Genomic DNA, 18194 nt, shown 5'->3' on the forward strand with positions numbered 1-18194 from the left:
CAGAATTTGTAGACCTTCCCTTCATACCTCCAGGTTAGCCTTACATCCAATCACTTGCCTACCTGTCCAGGAAAAGTGATGATTGATGTGCAGGAGACAGAAATCATTCTGAGTTTTATTTATGTTATTGCCTACAGTCATCAGGGGAGCACGAAGCTTGAGGTAGGTGGGCTGATGAAATATATGTAAATAGGACTTATTTCCAAGGTTGCTCATGAGGGAGGCAGTTTATGGAGGGAGGCAGTTTATGGGGATTTATCCATTTCAGTGCATCATAGGAAAAGTGGAGGACTTGGGAGCGGGGGCTGTAGTAACTTGTCCATGTGTGTGCTCCTGGGAATGTATATACAGACACACACACACACACACCAGATCAAGCACACACTGGAGATCAGTGCTTGAGATTTGCAAATTGTTGTCACTGGAGTTGGCCTGGTGCCTCGTGTATAGTAGGTGATCAATAAACATTTGTTTAATTGAATTTCTCTTAGTGTTAACTCCACTCCCATTCTCTTCTGTTTCAGGGTTCTATGAGGCTGAAAATATTGGATCAGTATTCCTGAGGAATCTGCGTTTCAGAATCCCAGGTCCGGAAGGACAAGAAGTACTTTGCAAACAAATCAAATGTACGTTTAGGAAGATGAAATCATGCAACAGAAAGATTTTTCAGAATTTTTCAGCAACAGATTTTACACACAATTCAGAAGGAAGAAAGAACAGATGAGTTTGGGAATCAGGAGACCAGATGTCAAGACTGGACTACATCTTTATATTCATTTCCAGATTTAAAGTTCTATGTTGTATTTTATTTGATGCAAAGCAATAAAATATTCCTCCCTCCTGTGACCACCGAAAAGGTCATATTTAGGACCTGGGTGAAGGAAGAGTGGGCATCACAGAGCTGCTGTGGAGTGTGTGCACAGATTCTGTGTACTAGGTCTGTGGGCTCTGCAAGACTCAAAATCAATTGCTGAAACACTTCTTAAATGTGTTCCCTCCTATGCATTCTGCTATGCATAGTCGCCCTCTCTTCCTTCTAGGTTAGAGTGGGTGACACTGAGCATGTAACTTAACCTCTCTGAAGCACAGTTTCCTCATCTGCAAAATGAGGATGATAATATCCTCCTCCCAGTGTTGCTGGGAGGATGAAGTGAGATGAATCTGGTGATACTGAGTAGGTGTGCAATCAATATTTGTTTTTTCCTGCCACTCCTTTACCAGGCTTTTTTTCACCTCAAATGAGTGATGACCTCTGAGTGCGGAGCTTTTTTGTCAATTTTTTAAAGACAGTGGTCCCCAGCATTTTTGGCACCAGGGACAGGTTTCATGGATGGCAATTTTTCCATGGACCTGGGTAGGGGGTGGTTTCTGGATGAAACTGTTCCATCATAGATCTTCAGGCACTAGTTAGATTCTCATAAGAGACACAGCACACAGCCTAGATCCATCACATGCGCAGTTCACAACAGGGCTGGTGCTCCTAGGAGAATCTAACGCCTCTGCTGATCTGACAGGAGGCAGAGTTCGGGCGGCAATGTTCACTCACCTGCCGCTCACCTCCTGCTGTGTAGTCTGGTTCCTAACAGGCTGAGGACCGGTACCCCGGGGCTGGGGATCCCTGTTCTATGAGGATAGAAAATCTGGTAAAGTAATTCACCCTAAGATGCCATTAAATTACTATGACCTCCTGGGCTCAAGCAATCCTCGCACCTCAGCCTCCCAAGTAGCTAGGACTTCAGGCATGCACTACTATGCCTGGGTAACTTTTTTGATTTTTATTAGAGATGAGGTCTCACCATGTTGCCTAGGCTGGTTTTGACCCCCTGAACTCCAGTGATCTTACCGCCTCAGCCTTCCAAAGTGTTGCAATTACAAGCGTGAGCCACAGCACCGGGTTACTTTGTTACTCTTTAGGGGTATTGGAAATATTAAGAAAATACAGCAGGGAGAGATTGATTTTTAGGATTTAAGAAGAACAAGAATAGTTTTGGGAGTTCTGGGAGCTACTTCCAAGGGCATGAACCAAATCTGGAAAGTAGAGTTGGGGTTGTGAAATATTAGAACGTGTGGATAGTCTGATGGTTTGCAAGTAAGTGGGATCGACCGTGGGGTCTCTGGACAGCTCCCCAGAGGGCCGTGGTCCACAAAGGGAAACACTGTCCCATCCAACTCTGAGAAATGGGTCTGGGCATCCACTGCTTTCACCGAGGGTCTCTGCATGACTTTAGGAAAGTCACTAGACTTCTTTAACCATTTCTTTCTTATCTGCAAAATGGGAAGAGTAAGGGCACCCATCTTGGAGGAGATTTGGCACGTGATGCTCAGCACATTGCCTGACAATACTAAGTGTTCAACCAATGCTCATGATTGGCCAGGGCATTGACGGCAGAATCGTAAGGATCACAGAGACCTCAGGAACATGGCTCTGAAGGATAGAAGCTGAAAATCAGTGTGCTGATATCACCCCTTTTGTCTATGAGGAGTGAATGTCTCCAATTAGGCTGCATTCAGCAGGCCTGGCAGCCTCCTCTCTCTTGGGATGCAAACTGCTTATGTGGTAGAAACAGGAAGCCGTCTTGAAACCCTCGCCAGGCCCCAGACGCGCGTGGGTCCACCTACCGTCCATCTACCGGGGTCACTGAGTCACTCCTGCCCAGGTCCCCCTTCAGGGACTGTCGTGGGCTGTGGCCTCAGAGGTCCCTTACAGGGTGGTGGGACCCAGGGCCCAGGGTTTGGCTCCGGGTTTTTGGGCAGCTCCGCCTTCATACCGAAGGCAGCTTAGCATGGCACTGTCTGATCTGCTGACAGCCGCGACCCTGCCACCTGCTCAGTGGGATGGCATCTTGGGGGAGCACCTTGGGCAGGGCTGCCCAGAGCCCTGGAACTGGACTCTCCCTGTGCAGGGCTGATGGGAAGGAGGTGTGTGCAATATGGTGGGAGGAGCCGGGCTGGAGGCTGCAGACTCTGCCTCTGTGCCCGTTCTGGGAAAGCCCCTGGGCTTGCTGGACCCATTTCTGCCCTTCTGAAAGCGGGAGTTAGACTAGATTGGGGCTTTCAACATTGCTGATATTTTGAACAGCAGAATCCTTATCACAAAGCCAATGGAAACAAAGAAGTGATACATTAAAAACACATCGAAGCAAAACCTCCTGGTTGAACTGGCTTCCCTGCCCCTCCAAAGTGGTTCCAAGGTGCCTCCACAAAGCCTCAGGGCTCTGAGGGTGTTAGGGAAACCACAGGTGTCCACAATGCCTGCCATGCTATGATTTCATCTGGCCGATGTGTCACTTCAGTATTCTGATGAATTTACCCTACCAGGCCAGTCAGAATCGACTCACTGATGATCAAAAAAGAGAGGACACTTAGAATTAAATTCATTTCTTTGGGCCAGTCTCCTTTGTCTGCACTTGCTGAGAAGGCATTTATGATGCCAGTGTGACTTATAGTTATCCTGGTAGGTACTGAAGCTTGTAAAGGCCACCTAATCACTTTGCTTTGGTATTCATTAGTCATTTAACACCTCTAAAGAAAGGAAAGGTGCGGCAGGTTGCGTGTGCGGGAGGGGAGAGGTAGTGTTGGCTTGGACCACAGCGGGAGGGACCTGGGAAGAGGGAGAAGTTGATGGTCTGGTCACTAATGGTCCTCAGCAGGACAGGCTTCTTTGTCCTTGTCTCCCCCCTCCCTTTTGTCCTCTTCTCTCTTCCTCTCTCCCTCATTTCTGGCTTCCCTCTTTTTCTCCTTCCTCTTCTCCTCCTCTAATATGGAAGGAACGTTAGACACACATTCCTGTAGATGCTGGAGTGGAAAGGCAGGTTGGAGGAAATACAAAGATGAAGGACATAGTCAATCTCTTCAAGGAGGTCATGGCCAAGTGTGCAAGGGGACCTCGAAGAAGCCCAGTGTGACAAGGATTGAGAGGTGTGCTCAAGATGTGCTGAGAGCAGAGGATAGCCCCAGCTCTGCTCTGGGGAGTCAGGGGCAGGGCGGCAGATGCTTGGGGTCACATGAACACACAATTGAGCAACAAAACATAGTCACACAGGGCCTGCCTCACACCCAGCACTGGGTGGGTTTTGTGCAGGAGAACTTCTTGCAGGAGACTTGGAGACAGAAATTCTTTGGGAAGGAGATGGGGTAGCTGCCTTACCAGAGAGAGCGGGATTTCTCAGACACTGCTAACTTCCCACCTCCACACAAGCTGATGAGACTGGCTCAGAAAAGGGGTCTGCCCCCAGTGCATAATAATAGCAGTGATAATTAATAATCTATAGTTAATGAGATTAAATTAATTATTATTTTAATTATGACATGTTTTCCTCCTCTCTTTCCCCTGCCAGGGCAGGCTTGGCACTTCCCAGGATTACAGTCATAATGGTAACAGATAAACCTTAATTAAAACATTCCAAAATACCATGGCTGAGTTAAAGTGCTGTGACACGTCGTTTCCATCTCATTTTGAGATCTTGCCTATGACGGCAAATGTCTCCCCACCGTCGGCAGCATCTTGGCCATTCAGAGCTGTTGCCCTCACAGCATTCAGTGATGTTTGCCAGAGTGGCTCCACGCCCCTTGGGGGCAGATGGCCGACCCACTGGATCGGGGCCACTGGAGACTTTTTCCCTCATGCTGGGCTCTTCACGTGGCATCCTGTGCCTGCTCAATGCTGAATCTGCTTCCCATGTGCACAGCTTACTCCTTTGCTCCACCCGGCTCTGCCTCTGTTCCCTTCACCTGCTTCTTCTCAGGCCAAGGTAGACCTGAGGAAAGGATTGAAAGGATTGTCTACTCTGGCTCTGTGGGCACTGTTCCTGAGGTGTGAGCAAACCCTGCCTCAGATGGCCCCCGAGTCCATCAGCAGCTCCTTCCCTGTGGTCCGAGTTACTGGCAGGGTCTCTGCGTTCTGCCTTTGTGTTGAGCTTCTCCTCCACAGCCCACCCACCTGCAGGGGCTTTCTCACGTGTGGCGCGGGTGTGGAGGCAGGTCTCCATGGATTGTACGGCTTTCCCAAGGCCTGCTCCAGACTGGTGGCCTTTTTATGGAGGTTAGCATTCTTTTGTTAGTCCACTCACATATTTTCACTCATTACTAAACATTTATGGACCATTCTAGGAACTGTGCTTGGTGATGAGCTGCAGAGACAGAAGACACCATCCTATTTTTATAAGCCTTGTGGGTCTGTGGAAGAGAATGGAAGATACACAAAGGAAGGGAGTCCCAAGCTGAATGTTCTGATAGGGTCAGTGCTGGCCACTGAGCGGGGAGGGTGGGGAGGGACTGTGCGTTCCTGCGCATGTTACCCTACACTGAATTTTATTTTTTTATTATTTTATTTTAATTTTGAGACAGAGTCTCACTGTGTGGCACAGGCTGGAGTGCAGTGGCGTGATCTTGGCTCACTGCAACCTCGGCCTCTCCAGTTCAAGCAGTTCTCCTGCCTCAGCCTCCCAAGTAGCTGGGATTATAAGTGTCTGCTCCCACCCCTGGCTAATTTCTGTATTTTTAGTAGAGATGGGGCTTCGCATGTTGGCCAGGCTGGTCTCGAACTCCTGACCTCAAGTGATTCACCCACCTTGGCCTCCCAAAGTGCCAGGATTACAGGTGTGAGCCACCATGCCTGGATCCTACACTGAATTTTGAAACATAAGAAGGAGTTATCCAGATGATAAGAGGGGAAGGAAGGTCACATTGAGAAGAGTCAAATTCAGAAGGCCTGACAGAGATGACATCCCTGGAACTGCAGTAGAGGAGTATGGCTAGAAGGCAGGACAATGAGGATGACAGGCCAGAGGTGAGGTTGCAAGTGTGGTTGGGGCCAAGACCACAACACGTGTTCAAGGTATGTCTAAGAAGGCTCAAGTTCATGAATGGGTGCATCAAAGAACCACACCCCAGAAATAAGCTAAGTAACACCTGCAACACTGTCATCAAACGTGCTGAGCCCTGCCTTGCGCCAGGCAGTGAGCTAGTCCTTATTTTCACACCTGGCTTTCTTGCCTAAGCAAATTCAGAGTCACCCTAACTTGGGTCATTTGCATCACAAAATTGCCTTCAAATTAGCACAGAGAGGGAAAAATCAACGCATACCTCCCAACATAACATCCCCAAATTTACCTAGCCCAGAGTTTTAAAAAATTTATATTTTTAACCTTGATACCCAAGAAAGCAGGAAATCTCACCCAGCTGGAAGCTCTCCTGTAAAGAATTCACAAAAATCCACACCAAAACCTCTAGATATTCCCATGGAGCTGCTAGTTCTGGAAACACTATGGGGGAAATTGCAGGGTTTTCTATTAGTTTGAAGGAGGTCTACTTCCTAAGACATTCTTCTGCTACCATCTCTTGCATGCTCAGTTCATTGATTGATAGAGTAAATCATTGATATTTTTCCCCATTGCTTCATTCAACAAATTTACATTGCACTCTCCTACATGCCAGGCATTGTTTTGGATGCTGGGGATACAAAGATAAGTGCTCTGAGGCCCCTATTCTCAGAGTGCTCAGTCCAGTGAGAAACTAGAAAAGTCTGCAGGTAATGACAGGCAAAGAGAGATGCGGTGAAATGGCCATGGGAGCACAGCCTTGAAGAGACGCCTGTGCAAGGCACAGGCTCCACTGCCAGCGAGGGAGAAAGCCCTCCTAGGCCCGAAGCAGCAAAAGAAAGCATCTAGAAAAAGGAAATAAAGGGCTGTAGGTGTATCAAAGGTATTCCAGTGCCAGTTAAATTTGAGAGAGAAATCATTTTATTTACGAAAATGTCAAGGGGAAGAAGATGCATAACTTCTTTAGGAACGACTCCTGCCTCTGCTAGTATGTCAATTCCGAGAGGCCTAAAATAATTTGGGCTTGAAGATGGATGGAGGTGGAGAGCTTGGCCTTATTGCCAACACTGTAAATTAGCAGTACCAAGAGCAGCCTGTCCCACTTCTGGTCTCTGGCTACCTCTTCACCCAGCTCTGGCCACAGTCAGGTGATCTCTGATGAGTGCATTCAATCACCTTCCTTTTCCATTTGGAACATGATTGTGTGCATGCTGTACATAAGCGATATTGATTGCAAATAAGTTGTTGACTGGAAGACATGCCTCTGTGGACATGTTTGGGTGGGGGATAGAGGGGAAATAAAATTAAAAAGAGAGTAAGAAAACACCTGTGGCCCCCAGTTGGAAACTTCTCAAATATTTGAAGCTAACAATGTTTTGGTTGCCTATTTCTTTTTTCTTTTTTTTCTAGGAGCTAAACGTCAATATTGCATTTATTGCTGAACAAACTAAAATCATAACAAATATAATAAAAGGAGAGAGTTAGCCTCAGCTTTCTGCAGAGAATGATTGGCACTTTTGAGCCCTGGATTGGTTGGGCCTTTATCTTAGCTGCGTCAGCTCATAATTAAACAATAAAAGGAGGAATTGTTACTTGCTTGGAATATATACAGTCAGTTTTCTGTAAGGTGGGGGCAGTGTGTATTTTATAAGCCCTGTTGCTGTCCCAGTTTTCTGTAAGAAGGGAAATGTGGGTATTTTATAAACTCTCTTCTTGTCTCTGTCAGTTCTAAAAGACTGAGAGATGACATGATAGCTGTCACAAGAAATTTCTGCTTAATAACAATGAACACTCAGAGCTCTTTAGGCCCTGAAGAGGAATGGGAAGATGATGAGGGAGGAGGAAATAAAAGCAAGAAAATGGTAGGACAGGAAGATTTTTTTTTTCCGCTCTCAATCTTGTCTTTGTTTGGCTGACCATAGAGCAGCTATGTAGAACTATGTGTGTGTGTGTAAGGGGGAGAGAAGAGAGAGAGAGAGAGAGAGAGAGAGAGAGAGAGAGAGAGTATTGTAATAACGTATTGAGCATGAGCTGCCTGATCTTTGCCAGGTGATAAACTGGCCCACTGTGATCTTGCAGGAAACATCAACAGTCTGAGAATTGTTGTTTCAGGAACTAGAAAGAATCCTGGAAATAGTTAAGAAAGACGATTTTCCAATGGCCAATACCTTCTCCCAGTGGCTTGTGAGATTAAGATTTGGTATTGGAATTTGTCCCATCTCGACTTGGAAGAATGAGACACCTTGGAAGATGAGGCTGACCAGGCCATGGAGCTGCCCAGACCCCCTGGGAGCCCAGAGTCCCCATCCTTGCATCTCATGATCTATCATTTAACAGCCCTGTCCAAAGTGCTTGCTGGAGATCACAGGGCTAGGCCACTTCTGCTCCTTGCAAGCTCCAAAGAGGAGGTCTCCTATGCACCCGAGGAGGATGAGTCTTCAGAGTTTCCAGCTGCCTTCTTGTCACCTGGCTCTACCTTACCTTGACACTCCCAAGTGTAGACATGCCTGATTATTCTATCCAAACCCAGCCAGGAGATGGGAAGAGACATCTTGTTAGCCAGTTGCTCTGGTAGCCTGCATTGCAAGGGCCTGGCTTTTACGCAGTTTCGCTTCAAGTCAGTGCAACTAGCTACCTGTCTTCCTGTCACTTTTCTTTGGCCACCTGGGTCTCAGCAGAGGCCCTCCCAAGACTGACAGGTTAGCACGGAAGGTATAATCTGCTAGTCAGATTTCACATGGCTGCACAGAGAATCGGTGCCCTTGGCAGGTAAGTGAATAAATATGGGAAGACATTTGCTATTAACTGCAAATGGCAAGCAGCATCTTAGAAAGCTAGTTAGTGAAACAGGGATGGGAGTGTGAGAGTTGATGCTTCTTTTAGACCCTATTTGTCTCCCGGCCTCACACTGCCTTCCTCTTGCTCAGACTTTCCCTCTTGCAGTATCTCCTAAGTCACTGGAGGAGGCCCGAGAAGAAAGCCACGACCCCCATTTGTGTGACTGAGATGTTTTCCCAGCGTCAGTCTCTCAACCTCCCCAGTTTCAGCTGCACTACTTCAGAATGGGACCTCTCCTGGCTTTATCTGTAGTGCGGACTATGTGTAAGATCACTGGCAGTGAGTGTTTATGCGCCTTAATTCATGTATGTGCTGATAGCTTATACCCCATCTCTGTATTCTCCATCAGAAACCCACACCCCAGCAGGGAAATTCTTTGAAGCCTAAATACTTAACCATTTCTTTGGCTCCAGGGAATGTTTGAAAGAAATTAGTTCTAAGCAGGGGTTTTTTTTTTTTTTCCCATTAGTTTCAGAGCAGTTTTAGGGCAAGAAAAATAATCCCCCTTCCCTCAGTGGATGGATAATGATGGGAAGTCACCTCCCTTCCCCTGGGATTAACCTAGAAGGGCTCTGGTTGGGAAAATGTTACCTGGTTCTTTGGGGAAGGATGACGGTTTTGTGCCTTATGTTTTGGGGTTTTCTGGGTGTCCCTAGGTAACCATCTGTGAGAGCATCTTGGGCTTGGAGTTTTTGTCACTGTGAACACCTTCTGTGGACTCAGGTGAATTCTCCAGTTGGCAAAAGAGGGAATGCAGGCTTCGCTGACTAATCCCTGAACCAGCTAAGGACAAGGCCTTAGAAAGTTTCGTCTACAATAAAGAAGCTTTTATCTGATGTCGAGGAATCTTTACCAGTAGCTGCTGTCGTGAATACAAGTGCACCTTTATGGCCCACAGTAAGCACTGGGGGATTTTCTGTGAAATCCTTGTCATTTCTTTTACCCATTTTCCTAGGAAGTGAGTTGTGCTCTTGTATATGCTCTTCACACTGTGCGAAGTCAGTTACGTGTGTGGCAAAGAACTTGCCTTGGTTTCTAACTTGTTTTACACTTTCTTTGCAGTGTCTTGATGAACAGAAGTTCTTATTTGGATTAAAGAAACACATATGGTCAATAAACATATGATGGGATGTTCAACCTCATTAATGATCAGGGAAATGCATATCAAGGGCACAAGAGATACCAATCTCACCCACTCGGCTGTTAAGAGTATGGAAGTATGACAATATCGGGTGTTGGAGGGAGTGTGGATCTGCAGAAGGTTTTGTGCAGTGCTGATGGGAAGGAGAAATTGTACAGCCACTTTGTCATGATCTCGTAAAGTTGATCATTCAAATGCTCCATCATCCATCAATCCCACTCTTAGGAAGTCAGACAAGGGCAACTCTCTCTCACGTATACCAGCAGACATGTATGAGAACGGTCATTTCAGCACTATTTATATAAAGCAAAACTTGGGGGCAATACAAATGTTCTCTGACAGGAGACTGGATCAATATATTGTGGTGTGCCTATTTAATGGAATAATAAACCTCAGTCAAAATGAATGAACAATAGTCCCATGCAACAATATGAATTAGTTTTAGCAGCAGAATTCAAGTGCAAAAAGTCTCAGAAGAATGCATATTGCATGATACCCTTTGTAGACGGTTAAAATAAATCCAAACTGAAAATTCTTCTTTTTTTAAAAAAAATATATGTAGCAGTAGTAAAACTTTGTTTGAAAAAAGGGAAAGCAAGTCAATGATGAACATAAGATTCGAGAAAGTGCTTAGTTACTTTGGGTAGAGGAAGAGAAAGGATGCATTGAAGATTGATGTTGCTACTCTAGTTTTCTTGTTTGTTTGGTAATTTAAAGAATGTTTATTATAGTACTGAAGAGAAATACATAAATACAGCAATAAAAAATCAAATAACCAGATTTAAAAAAAATGGGAAAAGGACTTGAATAGACATTTCTCCAAAGATGATTTACAAATGGCCAAGAAGCATATGGAAAGATGTTAAACATCACTAATCATCAGAGATTTGCAAATCGAAATGATAGTGAGGTATCACCTCACACCCATTACGATAGCCACTATAGAGAAAAGCCAGAATATAGCAAATGTCGGTAAGAGCGTGGAGAAATTGGGACCCTTGTGCACTGTTGGTGGTGTTGTAAAATGGTGCAACTGCTATGGATAACACAATGAAGGTTCCTTAAAAAATTAAAAATAGGACCACCATCTGATGCAGCAGTTCCACTTCTGAGTAGACATCCAGAAACATTAAAAGCAGGGTGTCGATTCGCACACCCACGTTCACAGCCACACTATTCACAATAAATAGCTAAGAGGTGGAAATAGGCTGGGCACGGTGGTTCAGGCCTGTAATCCTAGCACTTTCGGAAGCCAAGGCAGGAAGATCACTTGAGGTCAGGAGTTCGAGACCAGTCTGGCCAACATGGAGAAACCCTGCGTCTATTAAAAATACAAAAATTAGCTGGGTGTGGTGGCACACACCTGTAGTCTCAGCTCCTCAGGAGGCTGAGGCAGGAGGATCACTTGAACCCATGAGGCGGAGGTTGCAGTGAGCTAAGACTGCACCAATGCACTCCAGCCTGGGTGACAGACCAAGACTCTGTCTCAAAAAAAAAAAAAAAAAAAAAAAAAAAAGGAGGTGGAAACAACCCAAGTATTCATCAATGATGAATGGATAAACAAAATATAGCATATACATACAATGGAATATTCTTCAGCTTTAAAAAGGAAGGAAAACCTTCCATATGCTACAACATAGATGAACCTTGAAGACATTACGCTAAGTGAAACAAGCCAGTCACAAAAGGACAAATATTGTATGACTTCACATCTATGAGGGTCTAACATGGTCAGATTCATAGAAAAAACAGAAAGTAGGATGTTGATTACTAGGGACAGGTGACCCCTCCTTGGATCTACCCGCTTTGCAATGTGACTCTGCAGCTCTTCCCACCAACAGGTGGAGACTGCTTTCCCATCCCTTGGATCTGAGCTGGCCTGGTGACTTGCTTTGGCCCATAGCCTGTGGTGGAAGCGAGGCTGTGCTGGTGCTGAGCCAAGACCTCAAGAAGCTTGCATGCTCCTGCTCACGCCCTTGGAAAACAGACATGTGAGGCCATCCTAGACCAGCCACCCTCTAGGTGACCCTCCAGGTGACTGCAGATAGATGAGTGAGTGCAGTTAAATTCAGCTGTGCTGGGCCAGGCACTGTGGCTCACGCCTGTAATCCCAGTACTTTGGGAGGCGAAGGCAGGCAGACTGCCTGAGATCAGGAGTTTGAGACCAGCCTGGGCAACACAGCGAAACCCTGTCTCCAGTAAAATACAAAAAAAATTAGCCGGGCGTGGTGGCGCGCACCTGTAATCCCAGCTACTCAGGAGGCTGAGGCAGGAGAATTGTTTGAACCTGGGAGGTAGATGTTGCAGTGAGCTGAGATTGCGCCATTGTACTCCAGCCTGGGTGACAGAGTGAGACTCTGTCTCAAACACAAACAAACAAACAAACAAAAAAACAACAAAAAAACTGGCTATCAGGAGATGAAGAATGCATCTGAAAGTCAACAAGGAGAGAAAGAGACTCTGCCGGCATGCCGTAAAAGCGTGCAAGTCATGGCAGGGGAACACATAAGTGTGTTACATCTGTATGCACATGCATGTGAGTGCCTGTGACCACACACACACACACACACACACACCCATAGTCAGAGGAAGCCTCAAATCAGGCTGAGTTTCCGAAGGGAAAATCTCATTTGTCCACCAGTGATAGCGTATGTAGCCTTCTACATTAATGTAAATTGAGGCAGGATTACCTTCTAGTGATAAAGTCGCATCTGGTAGCAGAGAAAAAGTGAGTGGAAACGGACACATTTCCAATCAGGCTCTGGCCTGGGCTGCAGCCCCACTCCGCTGAACACCTAGATACACCTTTTTAAAACCCAGGATCCTTCGGGCTCAGCCTCCTAGTCCTTGCCCCTTCCCCAGATCCCACCCCTGTCTGCCCACCTTGTCTTCTCGGGCCCTCAAAACTTAAGCCAGAAGTCTGGGCAGGCCAGTAGAGGAAGGAGCTGGGGCCCAGGCAGCCACAGGTTGAAGAGGCGGAGGGAAGCGGCACAGCTCACAGTCACACTAGGACAACTTGGAAGTTGAATTGGCAAGTTGCAGCAGGAGATGGGAGCATGGGCTCCATCCCTAAGGGAGCCACATTCGTTTTTTTTCCTTTCAAAGTCGTCAGGCAGTAAAAGAAAATTGCAGGGATGGGGAAATAATGAAAAAGGCTCTTTGTTTTTCCCCCAGTCCGAACTCCTAGCTCATCAAACCTTGGAAATGCTCACTGCAAATGGTTGTTCTTGTTTTATTGCTTATTTATGGGAATCTATTTAAAGTGAATTGCACTTTTCCATTGTATCCTAGTGAGCGTGCACCGGAGTTGTGTCTCCCCTGGCTGTGGGGCTGTCTGGACTGGGGATTCTGTCTGATTGTGTCAGCATCACGCTCCGTGACATTTAAAAGTGGGGAAGGAAAATACTGCAGAGGAAGCAGGGCGAGCGTGGAGAATGATTGCTCAGGCCTCCATCAGCTCCAGGCGGGTGTGGGGAATGCTGTTCTAGGGCAGGTTTGGGGGTGCTGACTAGGCCTTCACACAAAGAGGAATCTGCTCTTGTGGATGAATGAATGGCGGTGACAAATCAAACTTTAATCTGGCTCTGCTGTAAGCATTGTGACCTTAGGGCAGGTACTGACTTCTATGAGCCACCTTTTTTAAAAAAAATTCTCTACAGAGAGGTGAATACTGGGCTGTTGTTAATAATGATGATGGAATTCATTATATATATGAGAGTGCTTACTCAGTATCAGGTAGATGCTCACTAAATGTAAAACTCCCTTATAAGGGTGGCTGGAATGGGGACTGGAAGAGACAGGTAAGTCCCCAACCTATCTTCATTTTCTTAACCTATGCCTTTTGACTCAAAAAGAATGAAGGCTCCCTCACTCCTTTGCTTTGATTGGGAGATGAGATGCGAGTCTCAATGCCTAGAATGCTCTATAGCAGGGGTCAGCAAACTGGCTGAATCGGGCTGCTGTTCTGGTAGCTAAAGCATTATGGGAACCCATCCCTCACCCCCTTCTGTCTGCGAGCCATCTATGACAGCTTTCCTGCTACAGCGGCAGAGCAGGATAGCTATGAAAGAGACCGTGGGGCCCACAAAGCCGAAAGTATTTACTTTTTGGCCCTTTACAGAAAAAGTTTGCCAATCCCTGCTCTAATTCATTGGTATTTTGGGGTTCTCTTATCTGTGTGATCAGAAGGTCTGAGCCTCAGAGAAAGGAAGCAGCAACTTGTCCAAGATCACAAAGTTAGTGTTTGAGTTAGAACTGCAATCAGGTTTCCCAATTCCTGGCCCAGTGCTTTTCCATTGTTTAACTGTACCATTTCACAGAGATCCCAAAGCCATTGGGATTAGCTTTACCAAAAAAAAAAAAAAAAAAAAAAAAAGAGTCTCTAAGTCACGTGGCATCTGAGCTCCATGTGATTGGTAAAGTTGGCATTAGTCCCTGCCACATTTCCCAAGTCCCCACCTTCTCTGCTCACCACACCGCTGTCTCTCCAGGCTCAGCAAATACTTCTAGAGACACCGGTGTGTCCTTGTCCTGAAACCTTTGTGAGTCAGCTGCATTGACTCCTGCTCCAGGATGACGAGGGCCAATTCCTTGATGAAGGGCCATCTGCCTGTGTCTGGCTGCCTGTCTGTGAGCTTTCGTGTCTTGGGGGCTCTGCTGCATTGCAAGAAGGAGCTGGGACAGAGCTCTGAGAGAGGGGAAGGAGGCAGGGAGAGGGAGTTTGATTCCTGAAGAATCTTCCTTTTCCCATGAAGACAAGCAAGCTGATGGCCAGCGTAGAGCCACAGCCTGGAAAACTTTATTTTTAAATTTATTTTTGGTGGGGAAAGAGTTGGGTTAGCTCTAATTTACGGCAACCTCCCCAGTTCCCTGACACTGCTGCCTCCTCATATGCTTTGCTAAGAAAACCTGGATGAGTCGGGCGAGGTGGCTTATGCCTGTAATCCCAGCACTTTGGGAGGCTGAGGCGGGTGGATTACCTGAGGTCAGGAGTTCAAGACCAGCCTGACCAACATGGTGAAACCCCATCTCTACTAAAAATACAAAAAAAATTAGCCTGACATGGTGACACGTGCCTGTAGTCCCAGCTACTTGGGAGGCTGAGGTATGAGAATTGCTTGAACCTGAGTGGCAGAGGTTGCAGTGAGCCAACATCCCGCCACTCCACTCCAGCCTGGGCCACTGAGCGAGACTCTATCTCAATTAAAAAAAAAAAAAAAAGCCTGGATGGCCTAGTGCTTCCTTATTGCTTAATTAACCCTTCTCCCTTTCTTTGACCCTTCTCCTCCTTGGTTGCCTTGTGTGGTTGATGGTGACATCATCCATCCAATTTCTTATCCTGTAACTTCCAAGTTACCCTTAACTCCTGCCTTTGCCCAATCCCCAGCCTTCTATGAGATACCACATGCAGCCTGCAAACTCCCACAGCTGTACGCAGGCATGTGGCCTCTTGCCTCGACATCTGGCCCCACCGTCCAACCCACCTTTCAGCCTCCAGGCAGGTCCTCACCTCTGCCATCCTCCACGTGATCCCCAAACGTTGCTGATCAACACACCACAGCTGGAATCCACAGAGGCGCCACAGTACCGAAAGGGTGGCTCAAACCACATCGCATGGCTCATAAGGCCCTTGGCGAGTTGACATCAGGCTCCCTCTCTCCCAAAGCCACACCGTCTTCCTGCAGGCACCGCCAGTGGACACACCGAACACCCCTCTTGTCCAAACACACTGCAGCTCCCTACATACAAAGGGCAGGAGCTAGACTGTGGAATGAGGTTGACTAGCGCTTACATCCAGACACTACTGTACCACTTGCTTTCCGGGCAGATTATCTTCCCTTTCTGAGTCTCAGTTTCTTCATCTGTATTAATGGAGATGACCTAAGAGCTGCCCTGAGGATTAAGTGGTATAATGCACTTAAACATGACAAAAAAAATGCACTAAATAAGTGTCATCTCCTTCCTTTCCAGCCTCTGCCTGCACAAACCCACTGTTCTTTCGCTCAGGGTGCTCTGCCCTGCGACTCAGCCTCCTTCGGGCTGCGGCTTAGCATGTTCCCCTCAGCCTCCTTGCAAATGAAGGCTTAGTCACTTCCTCCGCTGGTCCCCCAGACCTGTGTTCACCTGGCTCACAGCCCTCCTTAATTACAATTGTAATTGTTTATGTGCTTGTTTATGCGGGAGATGACAGGACTACAAGAAGGCGGGACTTCCTCTATTGCCCTAGGCCCTGGGGTGAACTGCAGCCAGCACTGGCCTTGCCGGCTCACTGCACAGGGTGGGCACTTAGTCCCTGACTTGGACAAGCCACTCAACCCCTAGGAACCTGTTTTCTTATCTAGAACATGAGGGTAATAGTTCCCAGTTGCCAAAGCTTTTCCCACAGACCCTGACTCAGAGGAGATATTCAATGAATGCTGGTTCTACTCTACCTTTCCAGGGCTAAGTCCTACGACTGTGACACAACTGATGCTCAGTGGCTCTTTGTTTAATGAATGAATACATGAATAGTGATTAGAGATGAGGCCCCAGGACCTATAGCTTTAGATCCAAAAGAGGTCAGAAGATTTAGACCAACCCTAATAACCTGAACTCATGTAAAAGTGGCTCTTTCCTCCCAGTCCAAACCACAAATCCTAAATGCTCATTCAGCCTCACTTGCCGGGGACTCAGCTTCTCCCGGGGCCTCCGGGTGGGTCCCATGATTGCTCTGATCACCTCCCTATTATTGGATATTAATCAAGTCCTACTCAGACCACAAACAAGCAGCCCTGCTCTTGACAGTCATCTGAGGATCTTTGTTGGTGATGAGGAGAGTGGGAGGAAGGGAGAGTGAAGGAAGAAGAGAGGGAAAGTGATGAGAAGAGAGAGCCAGGGAGGCTCAGAGACTGAGCAAGTGCCAAGAAGGGAAGATGACAACGCTGGTGAAGTCTGAACAAATGCAAAGTCAAGCACAATAATAATTTGGGCAAAATGGCAAATGGCACAGCTGAGGAGGAAATAGCATTGTGAATGTAAAAACTCCTAAATGGAGCGCAGATGGGAGGGAAAAGTGTAATCTTCTGGAAAAGCCTCTAATTGTCTGCCCACACTAATAATTTCAGCAAACGCTCCCTCTCTCCCTCCTGCGTATAATTACACCATTCCATCTGTCTATCAGCAGGTTTTTTACTGTGCCTTACTGCTACCACGTTCTCATGCTCACGGAGAGATGAGGGGTTTTTGAAGATTTAAGAATCCTTCTGACACATATCCTGAAGAAAAAACACTCAGGCAGACAAATCCCTCTCCCAGGCCTGCTAAGACTCTATTTTAAAAAGTTGTATAATCTCTCCAAACGCTATTATGAAGTCCAAAGGAGGCAGGGCCACATGGACCCTCCACCTTGGGTGTTCTCATCTGCCGGCTTGTCTTAGTAGGTCAGCTCTGGAGAGACGACAGGTCAGGGGCTGCAGGGAGAAAGGGGCTGGCAGAGACACCGGCCCGTGCATCCCGCAGGTGGCAAGTCATAAGAGCATCTGCTCAGGGCTATCCCTTTAGAGTGTCTTAGGTGTCAAGGCCAGGGTTCTGCTGCGTGAGGAGGAAGAGGAATGCAAATGAAAGAGAAGAAGCCAGCCGGGAGTGGTGGGGGAGTGTCTGTGGCCATGTATTAGCTCAGCTCAGCTGGCCTGAGGAGCGCTGCCCAGCGCCCAAATCCAGGGCTCTGAGTGACTCCAACTGCCATTGGCTTCTCTCCCTGCTCTGGCAGTGAGTTCCAGAGAAGACAGGTGGCCTCGTGCACAGAGCCCAGTAGGAAAGGCTCCAGGTTTCCCACCCAAGTCACTGCCCTTCGTGCAGGAGGTACAGAGCTTCCCATTTGCTTGCTCCACGGGCAGGAGCTGCGATCTTAAGGGGCTGGGAGCTGCCTGCAGGTTCTTCATCAGGAAGTTTTCTTTTCATGTGAAAAATCACATCCCAGCTCTTCTCCCTTTCCTTTCCAATAAGTGGGTCCTAAGTAGTTACTGGAAGGGGTGCCAGGAGAGAGGCAGGACAGGTCAAAAAGGGGAATGAAGGCCAATGCCCCCAAGAGGATCTTGAAGGCTAGAGGTGTGGTGGTGGCAGTGGGTGCCACGAGGTGTGACCTATTCACCAGATGTGGATTGGGCCAAGGAAATGTCACACAGAGGCGATTTTGACAGAGCCAGAGCCCCTCCATCCAGCTTGTCCTCACATAGCCTGATATCATAACCGCATCTTCCCCAGAATTGCTGAGTGGATGGGGAGAAGAGTTGACTCACATCACAATTCATTCGACAAATATTGATAGTGTTCCCACAAGGTGCAGTAAAGGCTGAATACAACACGTTTCCAATTCTCTATGGCAGCAACATCTAATAGAAATATAATGCGAGCTGCAG

General features: G+C 47.1%; 1 protein-coding gene and 1 long non-coding RNA gene across 19 annotated transcripts in view; one reads left to right on the top strand and one right to left on the bottom strand.

Annotated features, from left to right (window-relative positions):
• KIRREL3-AS4 (KIRREL3 antisense RNA 4) overlaps positions 1 to 846 on the top strand; it is a 29327-nt gene extending 28481 nt beyond the window's left edge. Inside the window, exon 2 of one of the 2 annotated variants that reach the window (NR_120532.1) lies at positions 525 to 845. This is a non-coding gene — a long non-coding RNA (KIRREL3 antisense RNA 4). Of the gene's footprint in view, positions 1 to 524 lie in introns of both variants that reach the window. The other variant, NR_120533.1, reaches the window with a different exon arrangement.
• The window catches only part of KIRREL3 (kirre like nephrin family adhesion molecule 3), a 580037-nt gene that overhangs the window by 257901 nt on the left and 303942 nt on the right, over positions 1 to 18194 (bottom strand). The gene's annotated exons all lie outside the window — the stretch shown is intronic.

The sequence above is a fragment of the Homo sapiens genome, chromosome 11 (assembly GCF_000001405.40).
Source record: "Homo sapiens chromosome 11, GRCh38.p14 Primary Assembly".
Classification (NCBI taxonomy): domain Eukaryota; kingdom Metazoa; phylum Chordata; class Mammalia; order Primates; family Hominidae; genus Homo; species Homo sapiens.